This window comes from Homo sapiens, chromosome 2, assembly GCF_000001405.40.
Source record: "Homo sapiens chromosome 2, GRCh38.p14 Primary Assembly".
Classification (NCBI taxonomy): domain Eukaryota; kingdom Metazoa; phylum Chordata; class Mammalia; order Primates; family Hominidae; genus Homo; species Homo sapiens.
In genome coordinates this window covers 8,457,955-8,480,960 of record NC_000002.12, presented here as the reverse complement: position 1 = coordinate 8,480,960, position 23,006 = coordinate 8,457,955, and the positions used below count along the sequence as shown (strand labels likewise).

Genomic DNA, 23,006 nt, shown 5'->3' with positions numbered 1-23,006 from the left:
AGGGAATTGCTACGATCAGCTTGGATGAATGAGGACTTACTCCCTAGGGCCAGGGAGGGCCCTGGTCACCCCAAGCCCAGGGCTGTCCACACCTGAGCAAAACTGGGCTTTGAATCACCGGGTCTGGCAGGGACTTGTCACTGAGTAGGCAGCCAAATAGTGTCTGGGGAGGAAGAAACACTTTAAAAAAAATTTTAAAATTTTAAAAAATTTAAACCATATTAAATGACAATGACCATATTAATTTTTTGAGGAACAATAAAATATTCCCTGTAATTTCTTGTACATTGGGGAGTGAAAAAATTATACATGTTGCATAGGTGGAGAGAAACTTTCCTGGAACTGTGAGGTTTATATAGAATTAAGAATGCCACGTGTAGGTCTTCAACCATAACTACTAGTTTTCCCACCTCTTATATGGACGCAATACATTCAAAGGAGAAGAACACACAGAGTTCCCTGGGAATTGTGATTAAAATGTGCTTAAATATCAGGCAGAGAGTGATGTGGGAAGTGGTTGATGTTGATGTTGAGTTTCTTTGGAACAGTCTACATTTTTGGACAAACGATTTTCCCGCTTTATATTTGGTTTGTATATGTCAAAGGCTGCAAGTAACAGCATATCTGACTGCTTGACTCTATGGCTTTTAAGTAATGAGGAGTTTATTTTTCCTCATGTAACAGGAAGACTGGAGGTCAGTGGTTACTGGTGCTGGTTCATAAACTCGGTGATATTAGCACTAACCTTCTGCAGTTTTCTTAGAATTCTTCTCTTGTTTGCAATATGGCTGTTGGAGCTGCAGTGGTCACGTCTGGGGCAGAATGAAGATGTTTGGGGCAGGAGAGACATTTTGAACCTCATCTGTCTCATTTTACCAAGAATCCAAAGTTTTCTAGACACTGGCCCCAAAGCAGTCTCTGGCCTTGGTGTCATGTCAGAACTGAGTGACAGCCCACCCCTAACTTCAGGGCAGGCTGGGCAGTGAGGAGTGAAATTATCAAGACTGGCTTAGACAGAGGATCAGGACCCATCGCCTGGGGCTGCTGGACCCATGGCTTTTCTGAACCCAAATGGGCTTCTTCCAGTAAGATACGACAGAGGAGTGGACACTGAGTAAGCAACAAAGAGTGTATATCACGAGCTGCCAAGGGGCTGAGGGGAGAGGAATGGTTTACATAAATAAGGCAGGTGGGATTTTTGAACCTCTCCTGGAAGTTTAAGGAGGGAGGTTTGGGGCCTGGAATACTTTTGATAAAAATAAAGCCAGAGCAAAGTGAAAACCACAGCAGAGCTCCCATCTGAGCTGGTGCTGGTGTCCAGAGCTGAATCCCACAGTCTCTGCTGCCAGCCTGTGTTCTACTGCTGAGCCAGGTCCTCTAACGTGATAGGGTTGTCATTGAGTCTCTCCAGAACAGGCTGGCGAGCGTGGTAGATTATCTCTCCAGTCAACTAGACCACTGATAAGAGGGCTCGACTTCCCTGTCGGAGCTCGTAAGGCAGGCGTGGCATTTCCCTTGCTTTCCTCTGGCCTCCCTTCATGCTTCCTTTGCTTTCCTTGCCTGCCTGGGCCATGGGGACAGCTCTGTTCACGTCTCCTCCTCTCCAGACATGTGCCTCTAGCGCAGTGCAATCCGATAAAAATGGAACGTGAGCCACGTAGGTCACTTCAAACTATCTAGCAGCCACGTTTTAAAAAGGAAAAGAAATGCATGGAAATAAAAATGATTTTAGTTAATCCATATATTAAAATATAATTTTAACATAGATTCAATAAGATTCAATAGAAACATGATTAAGATATTTTACACTTTTTTCATAAGAAGATTTTGAAGCCTGGTGTGTATTTTACACTTTACGTATTTCAATTCATATTAGTCAAATTTTGAGCAATCAATAGACACATGTGGCTAGTGGCACCATCGTGGAGGGTACTGGAGAGTACACGTGTAGAAGACAGATACCATGATATTCATCTCTTTATCTCCAGGACCTGACCAACAGTGGACCCTTCATAAGTACTTAATGAATAAATATGAACACGCTGCTAGAAACGGGCCTTTTTCAAACATAGGTATTGGCTGGGGGTGGAGGTGGGGGCAGAACAGAAAACCCTGGAACACTGTACTTGGTAATACAGAGCATGGACTTACATTCTCACACCTTGGGTAGGGCTGCATCAGCAGCTGACCCAGATACCTTGGAATTCCTTAGCTTCTTTCTGTCTCTGTTTCCTCATCTGTAAAAAGAGATAGCGACACCTGTCTTGCAAGATGCTGGGAAGATTAAATGAATAGGCGTACACCAAGTGCTAAGTACCCGACATGCCCATAAGCACTGAAGAAGCAGTAGCCACAGTTACTTTAAACCAGAGATTCTGTCAGTCATATGGACAACTCATACTTTAGTAGCAGCAGGATGGTTTGGCCAGGGCTTTCGTGCTGGTCCTGAAGTTGGCTGTGTCCCAGTGGTAGGACTCTTGTGGTATAGATTTTCTCATTTTGGGAGCACTCTTGACAAGGGGTCACGAAGCAATTTGTGGTGTTTGTCTTTTTGGCTGTAGCTGTGGAAAGTCATGTGCCAACCCTGGGGCTTAGGGTTTAGTCAGCAAGGGCACGTGTGGAATGAGGGGGGCCCTACTCTGGGAGCCCATAGTACCCCCCAAGCCTGAGGGCTCAGCTTCCCGTGGGAGCCTGGGCTGACTTAGGGCAGCCAGGCCCCTTCAGAGCAGGGTGAAGACCTGGACCCCGCTGCCTGCTGTCTGTGCCCCCTCGGCCATCCTCGTATGCTCCGCCCCTCTACCCTGTCCTTTGGACGCCCCCTGACTTTTTCCCCTAAATTGACTGAATTGAAATTTACTTGTTTGAAACAATAGAAACCACGTGTTTCCTGATCATACCTAGCTTTGAAAACAGAAAGTGGGCAAAACAAGCCAGGCGCATAGTGGCATTGAGAAAGGCAAAGGCTAACTTCATTAAAAAGCTTCTTTGTGGTATCAGGCAGGAAGTGAAACAGCTTTAAATGGCAAACATTTCTCAATCATTTAATGCACCAGTAAGCTTGGCATTCTTTCTCCTTTGTCCCCTTAAAGAAAAAGAGAGCCCAGATATAACTCAGATGAGGAGGGGGAGGGCCCGATCCTGTGTGTTGGAGGAGTTCCCTGGAGCATTGGTCCTCACCCCCATGAAGCTTCACGGGAGGACCAATGTCAGACGTGGGTGCAGAGGACAGTGCAGTTTCTCTTGTGTGGCTGAGCCTGGGCCACCCCGGATGGATCGCTGACTTCTTGTTGGTGCCACTCACCAGCTAGTTCTCTCAAATCTGTTACCATCAGAAGCCCGGTAAATGGCAAACTTTCCTTGTTAACATGTAGGTCCATTTCCTGGGGATAGTGAAACCCCAGTCCCCACAGGTAGCATTGACCTCTGTTGCCAAATGCCATTATCCTGGTGTCCACTGCATGTTAGGCTCTTTCCACAGAAACCAAAAACACAGACAAGTGTGATAGGCTGAATCCTTTCTTGAAGAAAAAAATTGCACGTACATATTGAATAGCAAACCAATCAAAATGAAAAGGAAAACCAGAAGATGGATGCCACTGATACACGCTTGCTTAGTTGCACTTTTTAAGATTCATTTATAGATGTCAAATAGGATATGAACACATGGAGGTGTGCAGTAAATACTCCTTAATTGATGAAAAGGCAGACATATATGTGAAGATTTTTAGGGAAATACTTTTTTGGGGAAATAGCAGCCAGTTTAAGTTGGTAACATAAATGGTGCCAGATGAAATCATATTGACTGAGACCAAAGTCCAGCCAATATGAAATCGCTCTCAAATGTAATGACTTTAGCATAAAAATTCTGAGTGGTTTCCCACATCTCGTTAACCTTTGTACTGCTCTGCAGCCGTAGGGGCCAGGCATTCTCATAGGGCACTAAGGAAGTGAGAGGTGTGCCTTAAGGTGTGGCTGTAACTCACATTTCTTTTTTTTTTTTTTTTTTTTTTTTGAGACGGAGTCTCGCTCTGTTGCCCAGGCCGGACTGCGGACTGCAGTGGCGCAATCTCGGCTCACTGCAAGCTCCGCTTCCCGGGTTCACGCCATTCTCCTGCCTCAGCCTCCCGAGTAGCTGGGACTACAGGCGCCCGCCACCGCGCCCGGCTAATTTTTTGTATTTTTAGTAGAGACGGGGTTTCACCTTGTTAGCCAGGATGGTCTCGATCTCCTGACCTCATGATCCACCCGCCTCGGCCTCCCAAAGTGCTGGGATTACAGGCTGTAACTCACATTTCTGGACTTCCATTATCATCCTGTCTAATCCTATCATCACCCTGCTGCATCTGGCAAAATCCCCCTGTTCTTGAGCCTCCAAGTGGGTGAATTGGCTCCCATATCACCTCATTCCTGCTGTTGGCACAGGGCTAGTCCACGGTGTCGCAACTGTTTGTTTAGTGTCTGTCTTTCCCATACAAGCTCCTCCAGGGCACAGATCCAGAATTATACACCCCAACATCCCAGTAACTCCCACAGTGTCTGGTAGGTAATAGTTTAATAAAAGCTGGTTGAATGAAAGAGCAGGTACATTCTTTGGTGTTCAGAGTTATTAATTCCGTTTGTTGTTGGTGTTTTCTTGTGGTAGATTTCGAGTCTTGCTTCTCATAGTTATTTTTTTTTCCTAAGATATGTAATGAAGGCAGACTTCTCACCTTGCAAAAGGTTAGTCCCATTTCTAAAGCAATTTTATGGGCTCCTTTGAGAGTCTGGAAATGTCTCCTATATCTCTCGGGAGAATCCTAGGTGAGGGGTTGGCAAATGTAGCTGCAAACCAAAAGAGCTTGCCCTTGGAGTTAAGTGGAAAGGGCGTTGTGTCCCTTCTCTTTTAATTTCAGTCCCTGTCATTGTCATTTGTCTGGCAGGGAGCTCTGCAGGCTGGGAAAGCCTGATTTTCTCCTCTCTGAGCTCCTTGTAGCCGGATCCAGTTTGTGATTTTCCCTCATTGATTTTTCCTGCTTAAATGTAGTTGAAACAACCTTTTTGAATATGGAAAAAGGTTTTAGCACGGTCCAAACAGCTAGCAGGTGACAGCCGTTATACTGACGTGTGCTGCGCTGATTTTAGGGAAGTATTTATTTTTTTTTTAAGAGCCCTGACAATAAGTGGCTGCTTTTTCAGGTGGTGCTATTGCAGAAATGTTACAAACAATGGCTACTTGTGGAGCCTAACATCACTTCTTTGGCTTACATTTCTACAGAAATTGCTCACAGGCCTATAGCCTGGTTGATGCTCTTCCTTGTTTCAATTCATCTGATTATTCTAATGTACATCAGACCTACGGTCCCCTGTCTGATGAAGCCCCAACCGTTAAGGGGAAGTATTTGTCATCTCAGCACCTGGTTTCAGGAACAAAGTACTCACCTCCTGGCCACGTAAGCTATTTCAAAATAACCTTTGTTCAGGGATCCCGGAGGGCTCAGTGCAGTCCCGACTGTCCTGCAAACTGGTTGAGTGACGGGGTTGGGGAATTCAGGTGAGCAGGACTTCCACGGTTGCCATGGAGACCATCAATCATTTGAGGAAGCCTGCTGGGGGGAGTTGGGTGAGAAACCACGAGAAAAAATCATCCACCTTTTAACGATTTGTTAGCACCTAATGCAGCCATTAGGCCTGCACTTTTGGAAGTGTTTATTTGGAGCACTTGATTCTGGAAGTAGAAGGAAAGCTAAACATTGTAACTTCCTTTGGCAAATGCATCTAATTTGTGCATCAGAGATCTCTCACAATTCTTTAAGGGCCCTCAGCGCCTGAGGCTAATTAGGGCAGGGGGTGGTGCTCTTTTCCATGGTGGGCCCATTGGGCCATATACACACCTTGCAGGCTGCAGGGGTTCCTGGCTGCCATGGGGAATCCCATTCTTGGGGTTTCTGTTTAGAAGCCTAGCTATAGGTCGCTAACCTTTCAGGCTCTCACCAAAGTGTGCTCCCTTCTGTTGAAGACCTACTATGGGCCAAAGGCTTTTCCCACATCCCCTTCTTTGATTCTCTCTCTTTTTTTTTTTTTTTTTTTTTTTTGAGACAGAGTCTTGCTCTGTCACCCAGGCTGGAGTGCAGTGGCACAATCTTGGCTCACTGCACCCTCCGCCTCCCAGGTTCAAGCGATTCTCTTACCTCAGCCTCCCGAGTAGCTGGGATTACAGGCATGCACCACTACGGCCAGCTAATTTCTATATTTTCAGTAAAGACTGGGTTTCACCAAGTTGGCCAGGCTGGTCTAGAACTCCTGACCTCAAGTGATCTGCCCTATTTGGCCTCCCAAAGTGCTGGGATTACAGGTGTCAGCAACTGTGCCCAGCCCTCTCCTTTAATTCTTATGAAACCTTTGTAAGGTGGACGTTGTCAACCCTATTTTACAGATGAGGAAACAAAGGGCCAAGAATTGAAATGACCTCTTCAAGATCACAGAGCTAATCACTGTATAGCAGGGTGTCCACCCCAGCTGAGGGTGAAAATTACGTCTGTTCCATCACGGCACCCTCTCGAAGGAGGTGATGAAGAAACTCGTTCTGTGCTATTCCTAATAGCAGTCACTTCGGGCACTGCTTCATCAGCAGCTCCTACGGCCATCTTGGTGTCCATGTCCACTCCGTGTCTCAGCACTCTGTAGCTGTCATCAGTTTGATGCATCTCCCCTTCCCTAGGAGAACCGACAGGGCTGTCTCACCTGTAACACAGGTGAGGGGTTAGGGAGGAGGTAAGGGGTTAGGGAGCTTGCATGTTGGCCATCCCAGGCACTGCCAAGAGCCAGATCCATTCCTTTAATCCATTGACCCTGGAGTTTGGGAAGAGCTTTCATTCTGAAGCATAGGACTCTGAATTTGCAAAATGTCTTACAGCAGAGACCACCATAAAAATAATTGCACTTTGGTTGCTCTTCTGGATAATCTACAGATTTGTAAGTCTAGAAAATCAGACACTGCCATTGAACCAAATTTGAAATTCTGTAAGGCCTTGGGGTGTGTCCAGGTGCCCTGAGGAAGTGACCAAGGCCATCAGGGTGCTGTTACTGACTTAAGCTTGAGTTTCTTGACATCGGCATCTTTTTCCTGTGGGGAGGACTCCATAGCCAGGCTGGTGCCAGCCAGGACCTGGGTGCCCTTTTCCCTGGCTGCTTGTCTGCTTAGGCTCTTTCCAAGGCTTTAGTTCTGCCCATGTCTGTAAAGAAGGACCATCTTAGGAGAGGGAGAGGGAATGCCAGAGGCCTCCTGGTTCATCATCTCATTACAATACCTCTAACACCTTTGACCTTAGAGTCCTTCTCTTCTTCTAGAGCTACAAATAACACCAGGAAGGTGTGTGGCAGTGGTAGGGCCTCCAGACAGACTTGGTTCCACCAGGCTTTGGAGGGAAGTCATGTACCTCTCAGCCTCATACTCCACATCTGCAAAATGGGAACACGAAGGTCCATGTTGCCAGGGTAAGGAACAAGGCATATTTAGCACTTGTTGCCAAGTAGGTATTCCATAAATGGTTACTATTATTCTTCTATAATAAACTTATTACATAAATCTAACTTTATAGGGCTTATGGGAATTGGAAGGGCTCAGCTCTGATGTTCCCTTCCTCCTTACCTCAGCCAGGAAGAATCCCCCTTTTCCTCCCTCCTGCAGGCCTTGTCTTGCCTGACCATAGAATCTAATACCAACCTTGTAATTGTCATCTGAATACAGACTGCGTCTTATCTACTTAATAGATTGAGGCTCACAGAGGTTAAGGGCTCAAGATCGCAGGCCGGTTAGTGGGGAAGCTGGAGTTCATACACTGACCCGTATTCCTTATCTCAACACCATGAGAACAACAGCATTAAGTGCCAAGTTTCAGAAACTCACATGAAAACTCTTGCTTTTGCTTAGAGGTGGGAATGAGAGGTTCTGAGCTGTCCCATATTGGACATAGGGAACTGGACAGGCCTCCTGGTCTCTAGCACACAGCATATTTTACAGGGAACTTACCAACTTTCCACTTTCCCAACCGGAGGAGGGTTTAGAAACAGCCCCCAGTGATATGGGTGTAGAAACTCCTGAAAGAGTATAGCCATGGAGAGGAAGTGCTCAGAGGTGCTGGGCCAGCAGGAAGTGGGAGCTGTTTCTAGCACAGAGGATGTGGCTCAAGACAAGGTATAAGAAATGAAAGTCAAGAAAGAAGTAGAAGTGGGATACTGAGGTGCCTCAAGCACAAGGAAGTGGCTTTATTGGCCAAGGTGGAAGGACAAAACAGCATTGCAGCGAAGATTTTGGGTGGGTGTGGAAGCCATTTTTCCTCTTATAGTGGCTGCATGAGGGAGGTGTTGGAACCTGGGGATTAGACATCTGGTGTATGGTGATTCTCAGTCAACTCTCACGGGGACTGCATAGAAACCATCTTGAGGAGAAATCGAACTTGTGAAGGCAAAGAAACATTGATTTCAGTGAGGTTTAGTTGACTGAGTTGTGCTTGCATTTTAGTCTTACAGCTCTGCAGGATGTGCTGGTGAGCTGGGAGCTACCCTGGGGAGGCAGCTCTGGTTTTCCTTAGTGTTGAGGGGTCTACCAGCCATTGAGCACAAATGGTGTGCTGGGGCTTACAGAGAGCAAATAATTTCATCCTCACAGTAACTCGTAAACTAGACAAATGCTATCACCCACATTTTACAGAAAGGAGGCAGCTCAGAATCACAGTATTTAATTAACTTGTCCAAAAGTAGAGTTCAGCTGGCAAATTGACGTGAACCCAGGTCTCTCTGATCCAGAATTGAGATTCTTTCTGCTAGGTGGCTTATCCATATACAGGTCTTGTTGGGAAATTTTTCTCCCCTGCCTATGAACGAGAAGCATAATCAGAGGCCACTTTGCGGGGCAAGGGTCCCTTTGAAAATCAGATGAAAGCCACTATGAAAGAGTGCATATGCCCCACAACTTTAGGGGGCTGAGGGCACCTCTGAGGTGCATCCAGAAGTCTCTTAATGTCTATGGAGCCCAGCTCAGGAAACCTTGTGATAAGGAAAAAAGGAACCAGAAGATGTCAGAAAAGAAAGAATTTTTAATGTAAGCAGATTTAAAAACTGCATTGTACGTACAGCCTACACACTCTGAATTTGTTGCCTTGAACATAACAAGCTTACATAAACAGGCTTCCATTACCTTATATGATAAATGTTCTTCTGGTTTGTAATGTGCACGTGAAAATGGACAACTCATTTGAACATTCTACAGGTAGATGTTTTTTCCTACCATAAAAGCCAAAACATCAAATAGCTTAAAACAATATACCTGGAAGTCGACATGATAAAATAGCATCACTTCCTTTTCCTTTACTACTCAGTTATTTTTCCCTGAGGGCAGTCCCTTTGCAGGTGGTATAGGGATGACTTCCATGCTATCACCCAGACTCACTTTACACTACTGCTATAGTCATCTTAAAGAAATTTGCATTTCATTGGAATGTATGTGTTTTCACTAAATTGATTATTTATGTTATACTCCCTTCCAGTGATCCTTAAAAATGTTCATGCACTGAGAATCACCAATGAACAGAGATGGAAGGGAGCTTAGAGATCATCCAACCTGACCTCCTTTACTTTTACAGATGGAGAAACTGAGGAGCTGAGAGGTTAAATCCCAGGCACTCAAGAAGTACCTGTGAAATGTGAGGCCAGATGGAATTTTCCTTCTGCTCCAAAGTCCTGGCAGGGTGGGAATCTTCAGTGGGACAGGGAGCCACAGAGGCTTTGCTAGCAATGAGGGGATGGCCACCGTGAAGGAAGGGTGCCCTGGTCCAGGATGGAGGTAGGACCCACCTGTGCCTCTAAGGATAACCGTCACCAACCCAAACCCGATGGGAGCATCTCTAAGATGAAGTAGAGTCCAAGTGGGGAAGACAGGGGGACAGAAAGGTCCAGAGACTCAGAGAACTTTGGGACAGGGAGAGGATGGTGCAGACCCTCCAGCAAGAGACTCAGGGACCCCCAGCTGTTCCCTGAAGGAGTCCTGGTGTGGGTTGAAAGGTGACTTGAAGGGAAAAGGGAAAAAAATATGTGGTTTAGCCTTAGGCCTCTGTGGATGTTTGGGACCATCTGGGGAAGGGGGTTACTTAGCTGTCAACACGTATGAATAGCCTGCCTGAGCACATTTTGGACCAGGTACTGTGGGAAGTTATAAAGGAGTAGAAGTCAGGGTCTCCACTTTCCAGCTTCTTAGCCACAGAGGTTGATGTGGTTAGGTGCCAAATTTAGCCACTTAACCTTTCGTGCTTTGACTGGCATTTTCAGACATTTACTCCTTTTTAGTTGGATTTAGTTTAGATTAAAACCTGGGTTGTAATCCAGTTTGGCAGCCATCATCTGGGTAGCCTGGGATAGTTGAGTCCTGTGAACTCTTGAGCCTCAGTTCCTTTGCCGGCCAAATGCACATTCTTCCTGTCCCCAAGAAATTAGAAATAACTTGTTTAAAGAGTTAAATTATAAGTCAAATCAGAGGAGCAAAACACCCTGGCTGTCTTCTGAACATACTTTTACTACAGCCATGTTCAGAGCATGATCACGTGCAAAGACAGGGTTTGTGTTTCTGGAGAATGGGCTGAATGTTTCAGAAGAAGCAGAGAGGCAGACACAGACACAGTGTCCTCCCGGTACAGGGAGGGCTCCCGGCCTAGAGGTGGGTCCACTGTAGCTGCCAGCAATGCCTTGCCATAGAAATGAGTTCACGTGATGTTAGGACGCCTTCAAATTGGAAACAATTCTCACTCTTTTCCCTCCAAGGTTGTTGAGCAAACTTCTGATTATCATTTGGTTTCCCAGTGTAATTTGTCTACACGGAGCAAATGTTTGGCCACAGGAAGTAAGCGCTGGTAAAGTTGGTGGTCATCTTTTGTTTCAGTTAAAAATTAATGCATTGACATTCTGGTTTCTCTACTTGGTTTCCTGTGGGTTGGTTGGCGTGAGTCACACACAGCCGCTGACCCCCAATGCCCCTTCCATGCCCTGCACCATTGTCTCTTTCTTCCCACCCGCTGTGTCTCCCATCTTCACTGACCATACACAGGGGCTCAGAGCCAGTTTTAACTCTCAAGAGATAACTGTGGGGCTCAGCTCAGTCCTCAGAGCTGTGTCCTATTGCAGGCTCCTGGAAGTAGGAAGTGTGACCACAACCATAGCCCAAAGGCCTGTTGACACTCAACAATGCTAACTGAATGAATGAGTGACTTAATGCCTGGGCGCAGGTGGAAAGGGAATAGAGGGCAAAGCTCTGGCATTAGGGTGGGGAAGTTCCTATTTGAAGTTGGTGGAAGGAGTAATATGCCAAGGCCGCTGGCCTGGTCTCTTTCACTGTCCCTGTATGGCTGTGGGAATGCCAACATGTCCTTGTTTACAAAATGAAGCAGGTGGAATTGGGATCTTGGAATCATGGAAGGGAAGGTAAAATATCATGAGGATTTCCGTGCACACTTTAACATTCAACTCTAAAGTCAATGGCGTTCATGGAGTTTGCATAGATAATCCTAAAACCTACATGCAAGAGTAAAGGACCAAATGAAGACAATTTTAATGGAAAAAATATGCTGTGGGATTTGCTTTCCAAGCATTGACTTATTAAAAAGCTGTTGTCATTTAGACAGTGCAGCATCAAGGCAGGAACAGAAAGCAGATCAATTGGCCAAACTGGCCGAAAGATTCGCTGGTCTAGGACAGAGGCAGAGTTACGCATCAGTGGGAAATATTTGCTGTTTGGGACATTTGGTTATCCAAATGGGAAAAAAAGTTAAATTAGCTCTTTACCTCACAACAAATAAATATGTCAATTCAGATAGATTAAAGATTTATACACAAAAGTGGAATGATAGAATACCTTCCAACATTGGGTAGAAAAGCATCTTAAACAAAATACAACAAGCAATGGCCGTAAAGGCAAGATTCATACATTTGATATTAAAACTACAATTCCTAGGCAAGAAAGATAAAGATGACCATATATTGGGGGAAGGTATTTGCAACAAACATAACTAAGAAAAAACAAGTGCTAAGAATATATATGTAGGAAAACAGTATAGCAGCTCCCCAAAAAATTAAATATAGAGTTACCATATGATCTGGCAACTCTATTTCTGTGTATACACCCCAAAGCATTGAAGGGAGGGACTCAAATAAATATGTGCCCACCAGTGCTCACAGCAGCGCTATTCCTAAGAGCCAAAAGGTGGAAACAACCCTAGCGTGCACCAGTGGTTGAACAGGCAAAGAAAATGCACAGTATCCATATAACGGAATACTCTCCAGCCTTAAGAAGACAGCACATTCTGGCCGGGTGTGGTGGCTCACGCCTGTAATCCCAGCACTTTGGGAGGCCGAGACGGGCGGATCACGAGGTGAGGAGATCGAGACCATCCTGGCTAACATGGTGAAACCCCGTCTCTACTAAAAATACAAAAAAAAAAAAAAAAAAAAAAAAAAATTAGCCAGGCGTGGTGGCGGGTGCCTGTAGTCCCAGCTACTTGGGAAGCTGAGGCAGGAGAATGGCATGAACCCAGGAGGCGGAGGTTGCAGTGAGCTGAGATCACACCACTGCACTCCAGCCTGGGTGACAGTGCAAGACTCTGTCTCAAAAAAAAAAAAAAAAAAAAAAAAAAAAAAGAAACAGCACATTCCTACACACACTACAGCACAGATGAACCCTGAAGACATCGTGCTAAGGCGCAATTATGCACAATTATGCGAAGACAGTGTACATGAAGGAAATATTGTGTGATTTCACTTACATGAGATACCTAGGGTAGTCCAATTCACAGACACAAAAAGTAGAATGATGGGTTCCAGGGGATGAGGGAGAGAGAAACGGTGAGTGAGTGTCGAATGGGACAGAGTTTCAGTTTGAGAAGATGAAAAAGTTCCGGAGGTGGAGAGTGGGGATGGTTGGTCAACCACACCAATGTACTTAATGCCACTGAGCTGTATCCTTAAAAATGGTTGAAATGATACATTTTATGTTATGTATATTTTACCACAGTGAAAAAATAGATGAAGTACTGACAGATGCTACACCATGGACGAATCTTGAAAACATTTATGCTCGGCGAAAGAAGCCAGACACAGGAGATCACACACTGTATGACTCCATTTCCATGCAACGTGTAGAGCAGGCATATTTAGAGGGACTGAAAACAGAAGCATGGTGGCCAGGGCCATGGAGGAGTGAAGGGCCCTGGGGCTGAGGGCTAAAGTGTTTCTTTTTGGGCTAATGAAAAAATCCTAAAATTGATTGTGGTGATGGATGCACAACTCTGCGAATATTGTCAAAGCCACTGGAATGTACACTTTAAGTGGGTGAGTTGTATGGCACATGAATTATATCTCAATAAAGCTGTTACAAAAAAAGTTAAAAAAAAGAATATATAAATAACTCTTTCAAAATTAGGAAAGGCAAACAACAAAGAGAAAACCGGGTAAAGAATAGAGGGGGAAGCTTGATAGGCCAGTAAATATATGAGAACAAGTTCAGCCCAGGGAAATGCAAATCAGAGCAACAGTGAGATTCCACCTCACCCATCAGGCTGGCAAGAATTCAAATCCTTTCATCCCCAGTAACGGGGAAGACGTGAAGCAACGCAAACCATCACGAGTCGCTGTGTGGAAACGTAAATTGGTACAGACTCTTTGGAGAGCAATTTGGCAATATTTGGCAAATGGGGAGAACCGCACACTTTTGACTCAGCAATTCTACTTCTAGGGATGTACCCCGGGGAATTTCTCATGTGTGTGTAGAAGTTCTGTGTAAAAACGTCAATGTGGCACTGTAATATCAAGAAAATTGGAAACATCCTAAATGTCCACCTCAGGACACAGGATAAGCGAATTGTTTATGAGGCAGTAGAATACTATACAGCAGTTAAAATGGACTGCCCGTGTACTGTATTCATATGGATGGATCTTTCAAACCAAACATTGAAAGGCAAGTAGAACACCCCACTTACACAATGTTTATAAAACAGGGAAAACCACATTTACATAATTTATAAACAGGACTTCACCTCTACCTGTATTCTTCTGTAGATCTTTTTCTTCTCTAAAATGAAAGGTCTGAAGCAAGTGTGTCGAAAGGTTAAGAATGATTAAATCTCACAGGTGTTGATATGGGTGTTTGTTATATTATTTTATACTTTTTTATATTCTTGAAATAATTCATAATTCAAAGAACATTTTAAAGACCTACATGAGGGGAACAGTACACACTGGGGCCTGTCAGGGGAGCGGGGGGAGCAGAGCATCAGGATAAGCAGCTAATGCGTGCGGGGCTTAATACCTAGGTGATGGGTTGATAGGTGCAGCAAGCCACCATGGCACACTTTTACCTATGCAACAAACCTGCACCTTCTGCACAAGTATCCTGGAACTTAAAATTAAGAGAAACAAAAACAAAAAAGACCTACATGATGCTGTATATTTGAGGTCACAGGCATTATTTTGGAAAGCGTATATGCTTCCCCACACCTTGTTAATGGTGACCCAATTGGGAAGTCTGCGCAGGTCAGATGGGTCACTGCTTCTGGGGTCTAGAGTTAGCCTCTGAGGTCGGTCAGCCAGCAAAGCCTTTCCAATCGTTCCAATCATTCCTTTCCAATCGTTCCTGGTGTGAGCCACTTGAGGGCACGTCCTGGGTCCTGCCCAGCTTTGTGCTTTTGGTCCTAGCATGGCATGCGGCGTAAATGCTTAGGTGGGTGAACCCTCCCCCAAAACACACAGATAGGAAATGTGGATCTCAACCTGAGGACTTGTATGAGGCTTAGAGAGAGGAGGGTGTCTTAAAACCTTCATGGGTTCTGCCTGGTAGATCCCAAAGTTATCCTTATAAGATGTTTGGCCTTGGCCTGCTGTTTCAGACTGAAGTGTAAACCTATATGTTACAGGACTCACTTGACAGGGGCACTCACTCTTTCTTGGAAGATACTTCTTAACTGCGTGTGGGATGACAACCAATCTGAAGGGTGACCATTGGGAATTACAAGGAAGCAGCACTCATCAAAACAGCGATGTGAAACTCCGTCAGCCCCCCTTTCTTACAAATGGCAGTAACTGTATTGAAGGAGGCCAGTGTGAGTTTCCCTGCTAAGGTGGGCTGAGATGCTGGGCTTTAGGTGGAAGTGGCAGAAAGAAAGAATGCTTCTATTTTGCTGAGGTGGTTCTTTTCTTGGAGTGAGTAAGGGGTAGTTGCTAGTTAACAGAAACAAAGGATGAGATAGTGCTGCAGAGAGAGCACCTGGGTGTGTGTGCCCGTGTGCATATGTGAAGAGAGAGTAACTGTTTCCCCTTTCATATAGAATTATTTGATTTTGCCCACATGTGTATAGGGACATGCTTAATGCACTGTCAATGAACCCATGACTGTGTCATTTCTGGTTCACCAGAATATATCAGGCATGTTCTCAACTGAGTGCCAAGTACCATGGAAAGCCTGCAGTGAAAGTTCTTGCTTTCTGTTACTCTGGCGAGGAAAGCCAGTAATGATCATGACCTTAGCTGAGATCCAGACAACAGAAGAGGACCAGTGCTGACGGCTCCTCACATGGGTTTGCTTGGGCTTTGAGGGATGACTGAGAATGTCTTCAATTTTTTTTTTTTTTTTGAGACAGAGTCTTGCTCTTGTCGCCCATGCTGGAGTGCAATGGCGTGATCTCGGCTCACTGCAACCTCCGCCTCCAGGTTTAAGCGATTCTCCTGCCTTAGCCTCCCAAGTAGCTAGGACTGCAGGCACGCGCCACCATGCCCAGCTAATTTTTTTATTTTTAGTAGAGATGGGGTTTCACCACGTCAGGCTGGTCTTGAACTCTTGACCTCAGGTGATCCACCCACCTCCGCCTCCCAAAGTGCTGGGATTACCGGTGTGAGCCACTGGCTGAGAATGTCTTCAATTTAATGGAGAAAATCTGAAAACAGTGCCCAATGATAGTGTGGAAGGATGTGATAATATTTTAATATGGACTTTATACACACATTTGCTTTTATCTGAGTAATTAGGGCTAGCGAAAGGTTTAATGAGTACTGAGCACGTAGTAACAGTGCACGAGCTGAATAGTCGGGCAGCTGGCCTGGATGCACTGGGGCTTTTTCTTTTTAGTTCACTGGAAGTCGAGTCTTCTTTCCATAATGTCTATAGTGCTGAACAATAAGATTGGTTCTAAACTGAAGTTAGAATGTCTAAGTGTTCAGCCCAAGCGTATTAGAAAAATTACTTTGGTAGAACACTTACTTTCTCCTGAAATGCTGTTGGGAAAATAGTTTCTTTCAGTTGGCCTTGCAGAGTCTTTGAAAATATCCTTGGTGCTGCAGAAGCTTTATTTGAGAATGCCACAAATCTTCTCCCACCCTCCATTCTTACTAGTGGAGACAGTGAGATATTACAAAATAGAAAGTATAATTTATTTTTTAATTGTAAAATACTTTGAGTATAATGTTTCTCTTGTGATATTAGATTAGTCATTTGCCATTATTTTCTATGGCAAAAACGACAGTCACTTTTGTACCACCCTAATGATTGACCTCCCCTTTAAAAAACAACCCATCCCCAGGAGAGATGGTTTAGTAGGATTCTTCTTTTTTTTTTTTTCTGACATACAGACAGGGGTCTCCCTATGTTGCCCATGTTGATCTCAAACTCCTGAGCTCAAGCAATCCTCCTGCCTTGGCCTCCCAAAGTGTTGGGATTGGAGGCTTCAGCCACCACACCAGGCCAGTTTAGTAAGATTCTGACCCTCGATGATCCTGTGGATAATTTTTCTCTTCAAATGTCACATGTCGGATACCTGTTGAATGGTAAGTGGGGGCTGTGGGGCTAAGGGAGGATGCCCGGCCTATGTCTGAGTAGGAGGGTCCATTTATACCAGGCCGGGTGCAGCCAGGCTGAGGCGGGCAGGTGGGAACCCCCTGCAGGCTGCAGGGTCCAGGCACTCACTGCTTCCAATGGTGGAATCAATGTCGGAAGTCCACAGAGAAGTCATAGCATGTGACTGGAATGAAAAATTGGGGTTAAAAATTCAGAGCCGTGTCTTTAGTTCATTCTTTGATCCTAGCAGTTAACATTAATTTCTCTTCTAAGTAGGTGATTTGAATGCAGCTTATCAGATTTTTTTTTTTTTGGAGTCTCTGTGGTTCTTTTTGTGCAGCTTGCTTGCTTTCTTTCTTTCTTTCCTTCCTTCCTTCCTTCTTTCCTTCCTTCCTTCCTTCCTTCCTTTCTTTCTTTCTTTCCTTCTTCCTTTTTTTTTTTTTAACTTTTTTCCCCACTTAGTGCTTAAAAAAGGCATGACTTTGAGAAAATAGTCATCTCTCTGGGATTCATCTCCGCTGAAGTCATCAGAAGCTGCACCCACAATGGAGCAGGAATTGGGGAGCGGGCAGCGGAGGGGGCTCTGCTTGCCTCAGAGACAGAGTTCCTGCTCATGCTCCCACAGGGTGGCCATGCCATGGTTGGTGGCCTGTGATTTGACTTGGCCCGGATGCCCTTGGCTGTTTTTGCTTGGCATCCAAACTGGCTGTGTGGCTGCCTGCGCGGGTTTCTCCCCAGCCCCTGGCACAGGTTCTCTCTCCTTGTCTGCTGGGACAGGGGCTTCCTAAGAGATGTCTGGTCCTTCAGGTCTGGGACCTGTTTGCCCTTGGAGCCCACCTGGGTCTTCTCTGTGGCCTTCTGGACTCTCTAGTTTGCTTATGAGCGTGTGAGGTTTCCGGGCTCCTTTCCTGCAGCCGGCCTTGCCTCCCTGCAGTTTCCTGCCTCTCCTCGCTCCCTGACCTCTCTCCCGGGGAACTCGCTCTTCTAGGCGCCATCTTCCTCCTCCTCCAGCCTCCCGAGTGCAGAGGTCCCGTGGCTCCGTCCTCAGCTGACTCCTTTGCATGCTCCGCATTTCTCCCCTGGATCCCATCCACACTATGTGTCAGTTTTATTTCCATGCAATACTCCTCTCCCTCCCTCATGACTGGCAGCCCACAATTCTGTTTCCCACTGGATTTTTCCATCGAGATGCCCTGTCAGCCCCAGAGCCCCTCACCCCTGGCTGCCGCCACACCCCCAACCCCGTGAGGCCTGTGGGGCTTTCCTTTCTCCTTCTCTGACATCTGCCCCGTTCTGTCCTTTCCTCTACCTGCTGTCTCACCAGCACAGCCTTCACCCTTCACAGAGGCTTCAAAGCTGCTCCCCAATTTCCATCTCTACCCGCTCCGATTTATCCTGACTATAGCAGCTTTCATGGGGTCCCCAAAAGAGCCCCCCTCCTCCCTGCCTGACTTTTGAGTAGGTTAAGAGATGAAACATTGAGTAAAGATGGAGGTGTCTTTATTCTTGACAGATGTCACATTAGCAAATACGACTTTGCATGCAGTGGCTAAGTGCTTGGCTGTGCTGACCTCAGTTTAAGTGACTTAGCCATCCAGTCTTTGCAGCAGTAACCCAGAGCAGGTGTCTGCCACTGGAGGGGCTGGCCCAAGGATGACTTCCTGGAGCAGGGTGACAACAGGCCAGAGCAGCAGCAGAGAACTCCTATTTTTCACCAACAGGCTCACTCCAGAGAGGAAAAAGAAGACCAGAACTGAACCAAGCTTGCCCAGTCATGCATCCTAAAATATCAACTGGAAGGCACTCTCTGTCCCTTGGTGGGCAGTAGGAAAGGCTACCGAAAGGAAGCATCTAGAGAGGGAAGAAGCATTTCTCCTTCTAGGAGAACTGACCAACCTTGTAAAGTCTGCATGCTGACCCTGATCTCCTGCTCAGATACATTCAAGCCCTCCATTTTTGTGTCCCCAGTCTTATTCTCCCAAAGAGAATAGTCTCCCAAGCTCCATTTTTGTCTAGATTAGCCAAAGGTCAATACCATTTGTCTTGTGCTTTTCCTTCTTTGTCTACATTTAAATTGGAGTCATTGAAAGTTTACAGAGACTTCAAGTTCAAGTTCAAGTTCAACCACCATAACAATCACTGCAGTAGCAATTCTCAATACCAAGCTCCCAAGCTCCCACTGTGGGCCAAAGCAGGGCACTAGATGCTTTAGAAATGCACTCTTGTTTAATTCTCAAGTGTAGAAAACCTAGCCTGCCTGACTTAAGCAGTAGGGAATTTATTGGGTCATGTAATTAAACAGTTTTTTAGACCCAGCTCCCTCTATCCAGGCTCAAAGAAGGTTATCATAATTGGTATCTATCTTTCCACTGCTCTCCATACTTGGTCCATGGACCCATTTTTATGTCCCATGTAGTTATAGTATTGCACACAACAGTGACACATCCTCTGTAAGACCATACACAGTGGTGACAAGCCCTGAGCATCATTCCCTGCAGCACCTCTAATGTGCCCTTGCACTTCCTCGGGGGAACTTGCTTCAGTGCAGGGTCTTACCCAGCAAGCCTGGAGTAGGGCCTCCCACCCACTGGAGATCCAGGTTTGTCACAAGCTCCCAGGTGATGCCTGTGACCCAGACCACATTTCCAGGAGCAAAGCACTCCAGTGCCCAAGGCCATACAATTAGCAGATGACAGATCTGGGACTTGAACCCAGTCTGATTGATTCTACAGTCCAGGTGCCTCCTACCACTGCCTCCATCTCTGTGAACACTGCCCATGTCTCCCTGAGGGAAGTGCTCCTTTTCCTCGGAGCCCCTTTAGCATCCCGTATGTCTTTTACAGTGCCTGTGTTCCATGTCTTAGTCTAGTTATTTGGGTAGGCCGTACAATGCACTGCAAGTATTACCGTTGCTCACTTTTTCCCCCTTTAACTTCTCAATTAGAATCCTATGAGAAGGTGGGACTGTTTTCCAGAATGTTGCTTTAATGAGGTCAGGGTAAAATCCCTTCCCCTGCTTCTGGTAACAGTCTTACCAGCCAACTCTTCTGTGGATTCCTGTCTCTGGTCACAAAGGAACTGTCTTAGGGACCAACCATGGATGGAGAGATCTAATCACGCACCTGGTAAGGACATCTGTGCTCCTCCTAGTTCTCAGCCCTATGCCTGGTACTCTTGGGCAGGACCCAGACAAGGAAAAAGGCATGAAGAGATTGGCCCTGCCCACAACAATCCACTTAGGGAGACCAGAATAACCCACGTGAAACCGTGGTGAACAAGACAAGACAACCTGATAATAAAATGCTAATTTGAAGGACTAGAAGTGATGTTGGATTCAGAGGCAGAAGAGATTCAAGAGAGCTGGAATAGGCAAGAAAGATTCCACAGAGGAGGGACCTGAATTAAGTTTTGAGAGGGGGACGGGATTTGGAGGGGGCAGAGGTCATTTTAGGCCAAGGAAACAACTCAGACACTGCCTTCTTCATGTCTAAAAGACAGAACACCTCTGTGGCACTGTTTGTGTTGGGCACACTGACGACATGGCAGGTAACCTCCAAAGCTGCCAAAGTGACTTGATATTTATTCAGACTCTAAAATAAATTGGCCTATTACATCAGTTGTAAGGAATCATATTTGGACAGTGACTAGATTTGAAGGATCTAGTTAAGTTATGTTGCCAGTTAAAGAAATCTCAGCGTTCATTTTCTCTACCTTTAGTGGAAAGGATCAGTCCATCAATAATATGGACAGGACTTGGCTGGATGCTGGGGAACATGGAGCAGCGGGGGGTGGAGGGAACTAAAAGGGAGTGTTAAGATACAGAGATGCATGGATTTGGGGGACCTGTCAACAGCAGGGAGAGATATCTCCTTCCCCAAATGTTGGTGTGTGAGGAAGGTCTAGGCTAGTTCACAGTAACTGGGAACTTTTGCAGGGTTTAAAGGAAGAGAGGTGGAAACTTTGAGACAAAGAAGGAGGTCATTGCTGACACCAAAGTTGGGGTACACGGAATGGTGTTGGGGAACGGCACAGGATTGGGACGTGAGGCCATCAGCAGAGGGCATGACCTAGAGGGAGGTTCCCCCACTGGTACTGACTGGGCTAACTTCTCCATAGAGTTCTCAATGGTCTGGGTGAAATAAGGGAAAGTATGGTACGGTTTTTTCCTAAATGCACTCAGCTTATAGCCTTGTATTTTTGAAAATTGCTGTTTCTTTTATGAAACGATGGGGATAGTGGTCCCTCAAAAATAACCTTCCTTGACAAAATTAAAAGTTAGAAACTCCATACAGCCCTCAGATAAAAAAAAAAAAAAGTAAGTGATCTATACAATCTAAAACCTGGGAACCAACCGCTGGTCCAAGAATACAGAGAGAAAAGGATGGAGAGGAAGGGGCCAACTGGCGGCAACCTTGTTTATTATTTATGTTATGTATTCATTCATTCATTCATTCATTCATTCATTCACTCAGCAAACACCTACTGGCCTGGAAGCCTTGCTTAATTATAGCTACTGCAGACTTCCGTGGAGACTGGTGGTGAGCAGTGCTGGTCTTTGGGAAGGTGAGTCTCAGGCTGTGTTTGTGCTGGTCTTAGAGGAGAAGGCAAAGTCAATGTCCTGTGAGACCCTCCTGGAGCCTGGCTTATGTTGATTACAGGGGTCTGCCTTCATGGGTAGTGGTCCCCAGGATAAGCAGAGGGAAGAGGGAGGAGGAGAACCAGGAACCAGAACAAACCTTTCAGCCCCTAGGGAACATCCAGATTGAAGAGCTGTAAGGGAGAATCATGCCAGAGGCTCTTTTAGTGCATTTGGGTCCAACAATTAATATTTACTGAACACCTAGCCTGATCAGGACGCAGCACTGGATACAGCCTAGGTTACTGAATAACCACGCTTATTTCATCAAAATAAGTAGTGTTTAAAGGGCCAAATGAAATCAAAAAGTGGTCCAAAGTCACTACTTTCTATTTCCAATTGCTTTGGGGCATCAGTTATTGAGAAGAATGCCTGGGTGAATTTGAAGTATCAGATGCATGTGTGTGCATGTATGCAGAGTAGTGGCAGGAAACCTGTATGACCAGCCTGGGAAGGACGTGATGTTCCTAAAGTGGAAGGGACCACTAGGATTATGAGAGCCAAGTCAAAGTTTGGGAACTCATTCTGGCTTTTGAAAATTCCACTTGCATGACTGATGTGGTTTATGCCATGGATGCCAGTTAGTGTGCAACTCCTTGCAAAATTCTGCCGGGTCAAGTCAGTGTAGCTTAGGTGGTGAGGGCATGGGATTTAATGCCCAAATGTTTAAGGCCCAGGGGCCTGAGTTTGAGTCCTGACATCACTTCAGAGCTGGGACTCCGTTACGACAGCTTACAGCAGAAGGTCTGGTCACAGACTGGCTCTGGCCCATGTGGGGTGCGGGGTCTGGGCTGGTGTCCTGCTTGTTTCTGGCTGGCACTTGTGAGAACATGAGCATCAGACATTCATGCTCCCCGTCTTCTGTGCATGTGAGTAGCGGTGTGAGGAAGGTGGTAATTCTCATTTCAGTATGAAATATGCTCTCAACACAAAAACAACCTACAAAACCAGAGGTGGGGGCAGGCCAATAAATGCACGTTAGTCTCAAACCTGACCCCATTAGAACAGCCACCCCACTCCCACCTGGAGTAGAAAGTCTGGAGAAAGGAAAAAAAATGACTTAAATCTTCTCTCCAGCCCTTCAACTTGCTGGCACGTCGCATTTGAAATGCATTCCTTCTCTAAGCTGGAAATTAGGATTTTCAAGTAATACATGAAAAACCAGTACGAAAATAAATACTGCAATAGTGGGGCCAGGATCCCTGGCCGCTCACAGAAATGTTATAGAAACTAGGCAGAATATGAGGTATTTTCCTGTGTTGTCATGCAGCACTTAATTTTTATGCTGATTATATATTTCTTATTCAATGTTATTTAACACCTGTGAAATTGACTTGACTTGGTAAGACGGCAGACTGTGGGATGGGGGTAGGGGTGAGAATCCTTCACAAGTCTTAAACGGAATTAAACCTGCGTGCTTATATTAACAAGGTAACAAGAAAAAAACCGGTCCAAACAGAAAACGGCCGGAAACCCAATGAGGTCCTAAATATAGTACAGTAGGTAATAAAGGATAAATATTTCTAG

General features: G+C 45.6%; 1 annotated feature.

The window, feature by feature from the left end:
• Positions 5,334-5,503: an enhancer, noted in NCBI's record as "active region_15256". NCBI's record gives its function as "activates an Ori minimal core promoter by ATAC-STARR-seq in GM12878 lymphoblastoid cells {active_cell/tissue: GM12878}" and the evidence as "EXISTENCE:reporter gene assay evidence [ECO:0000049][PMID:35858748]".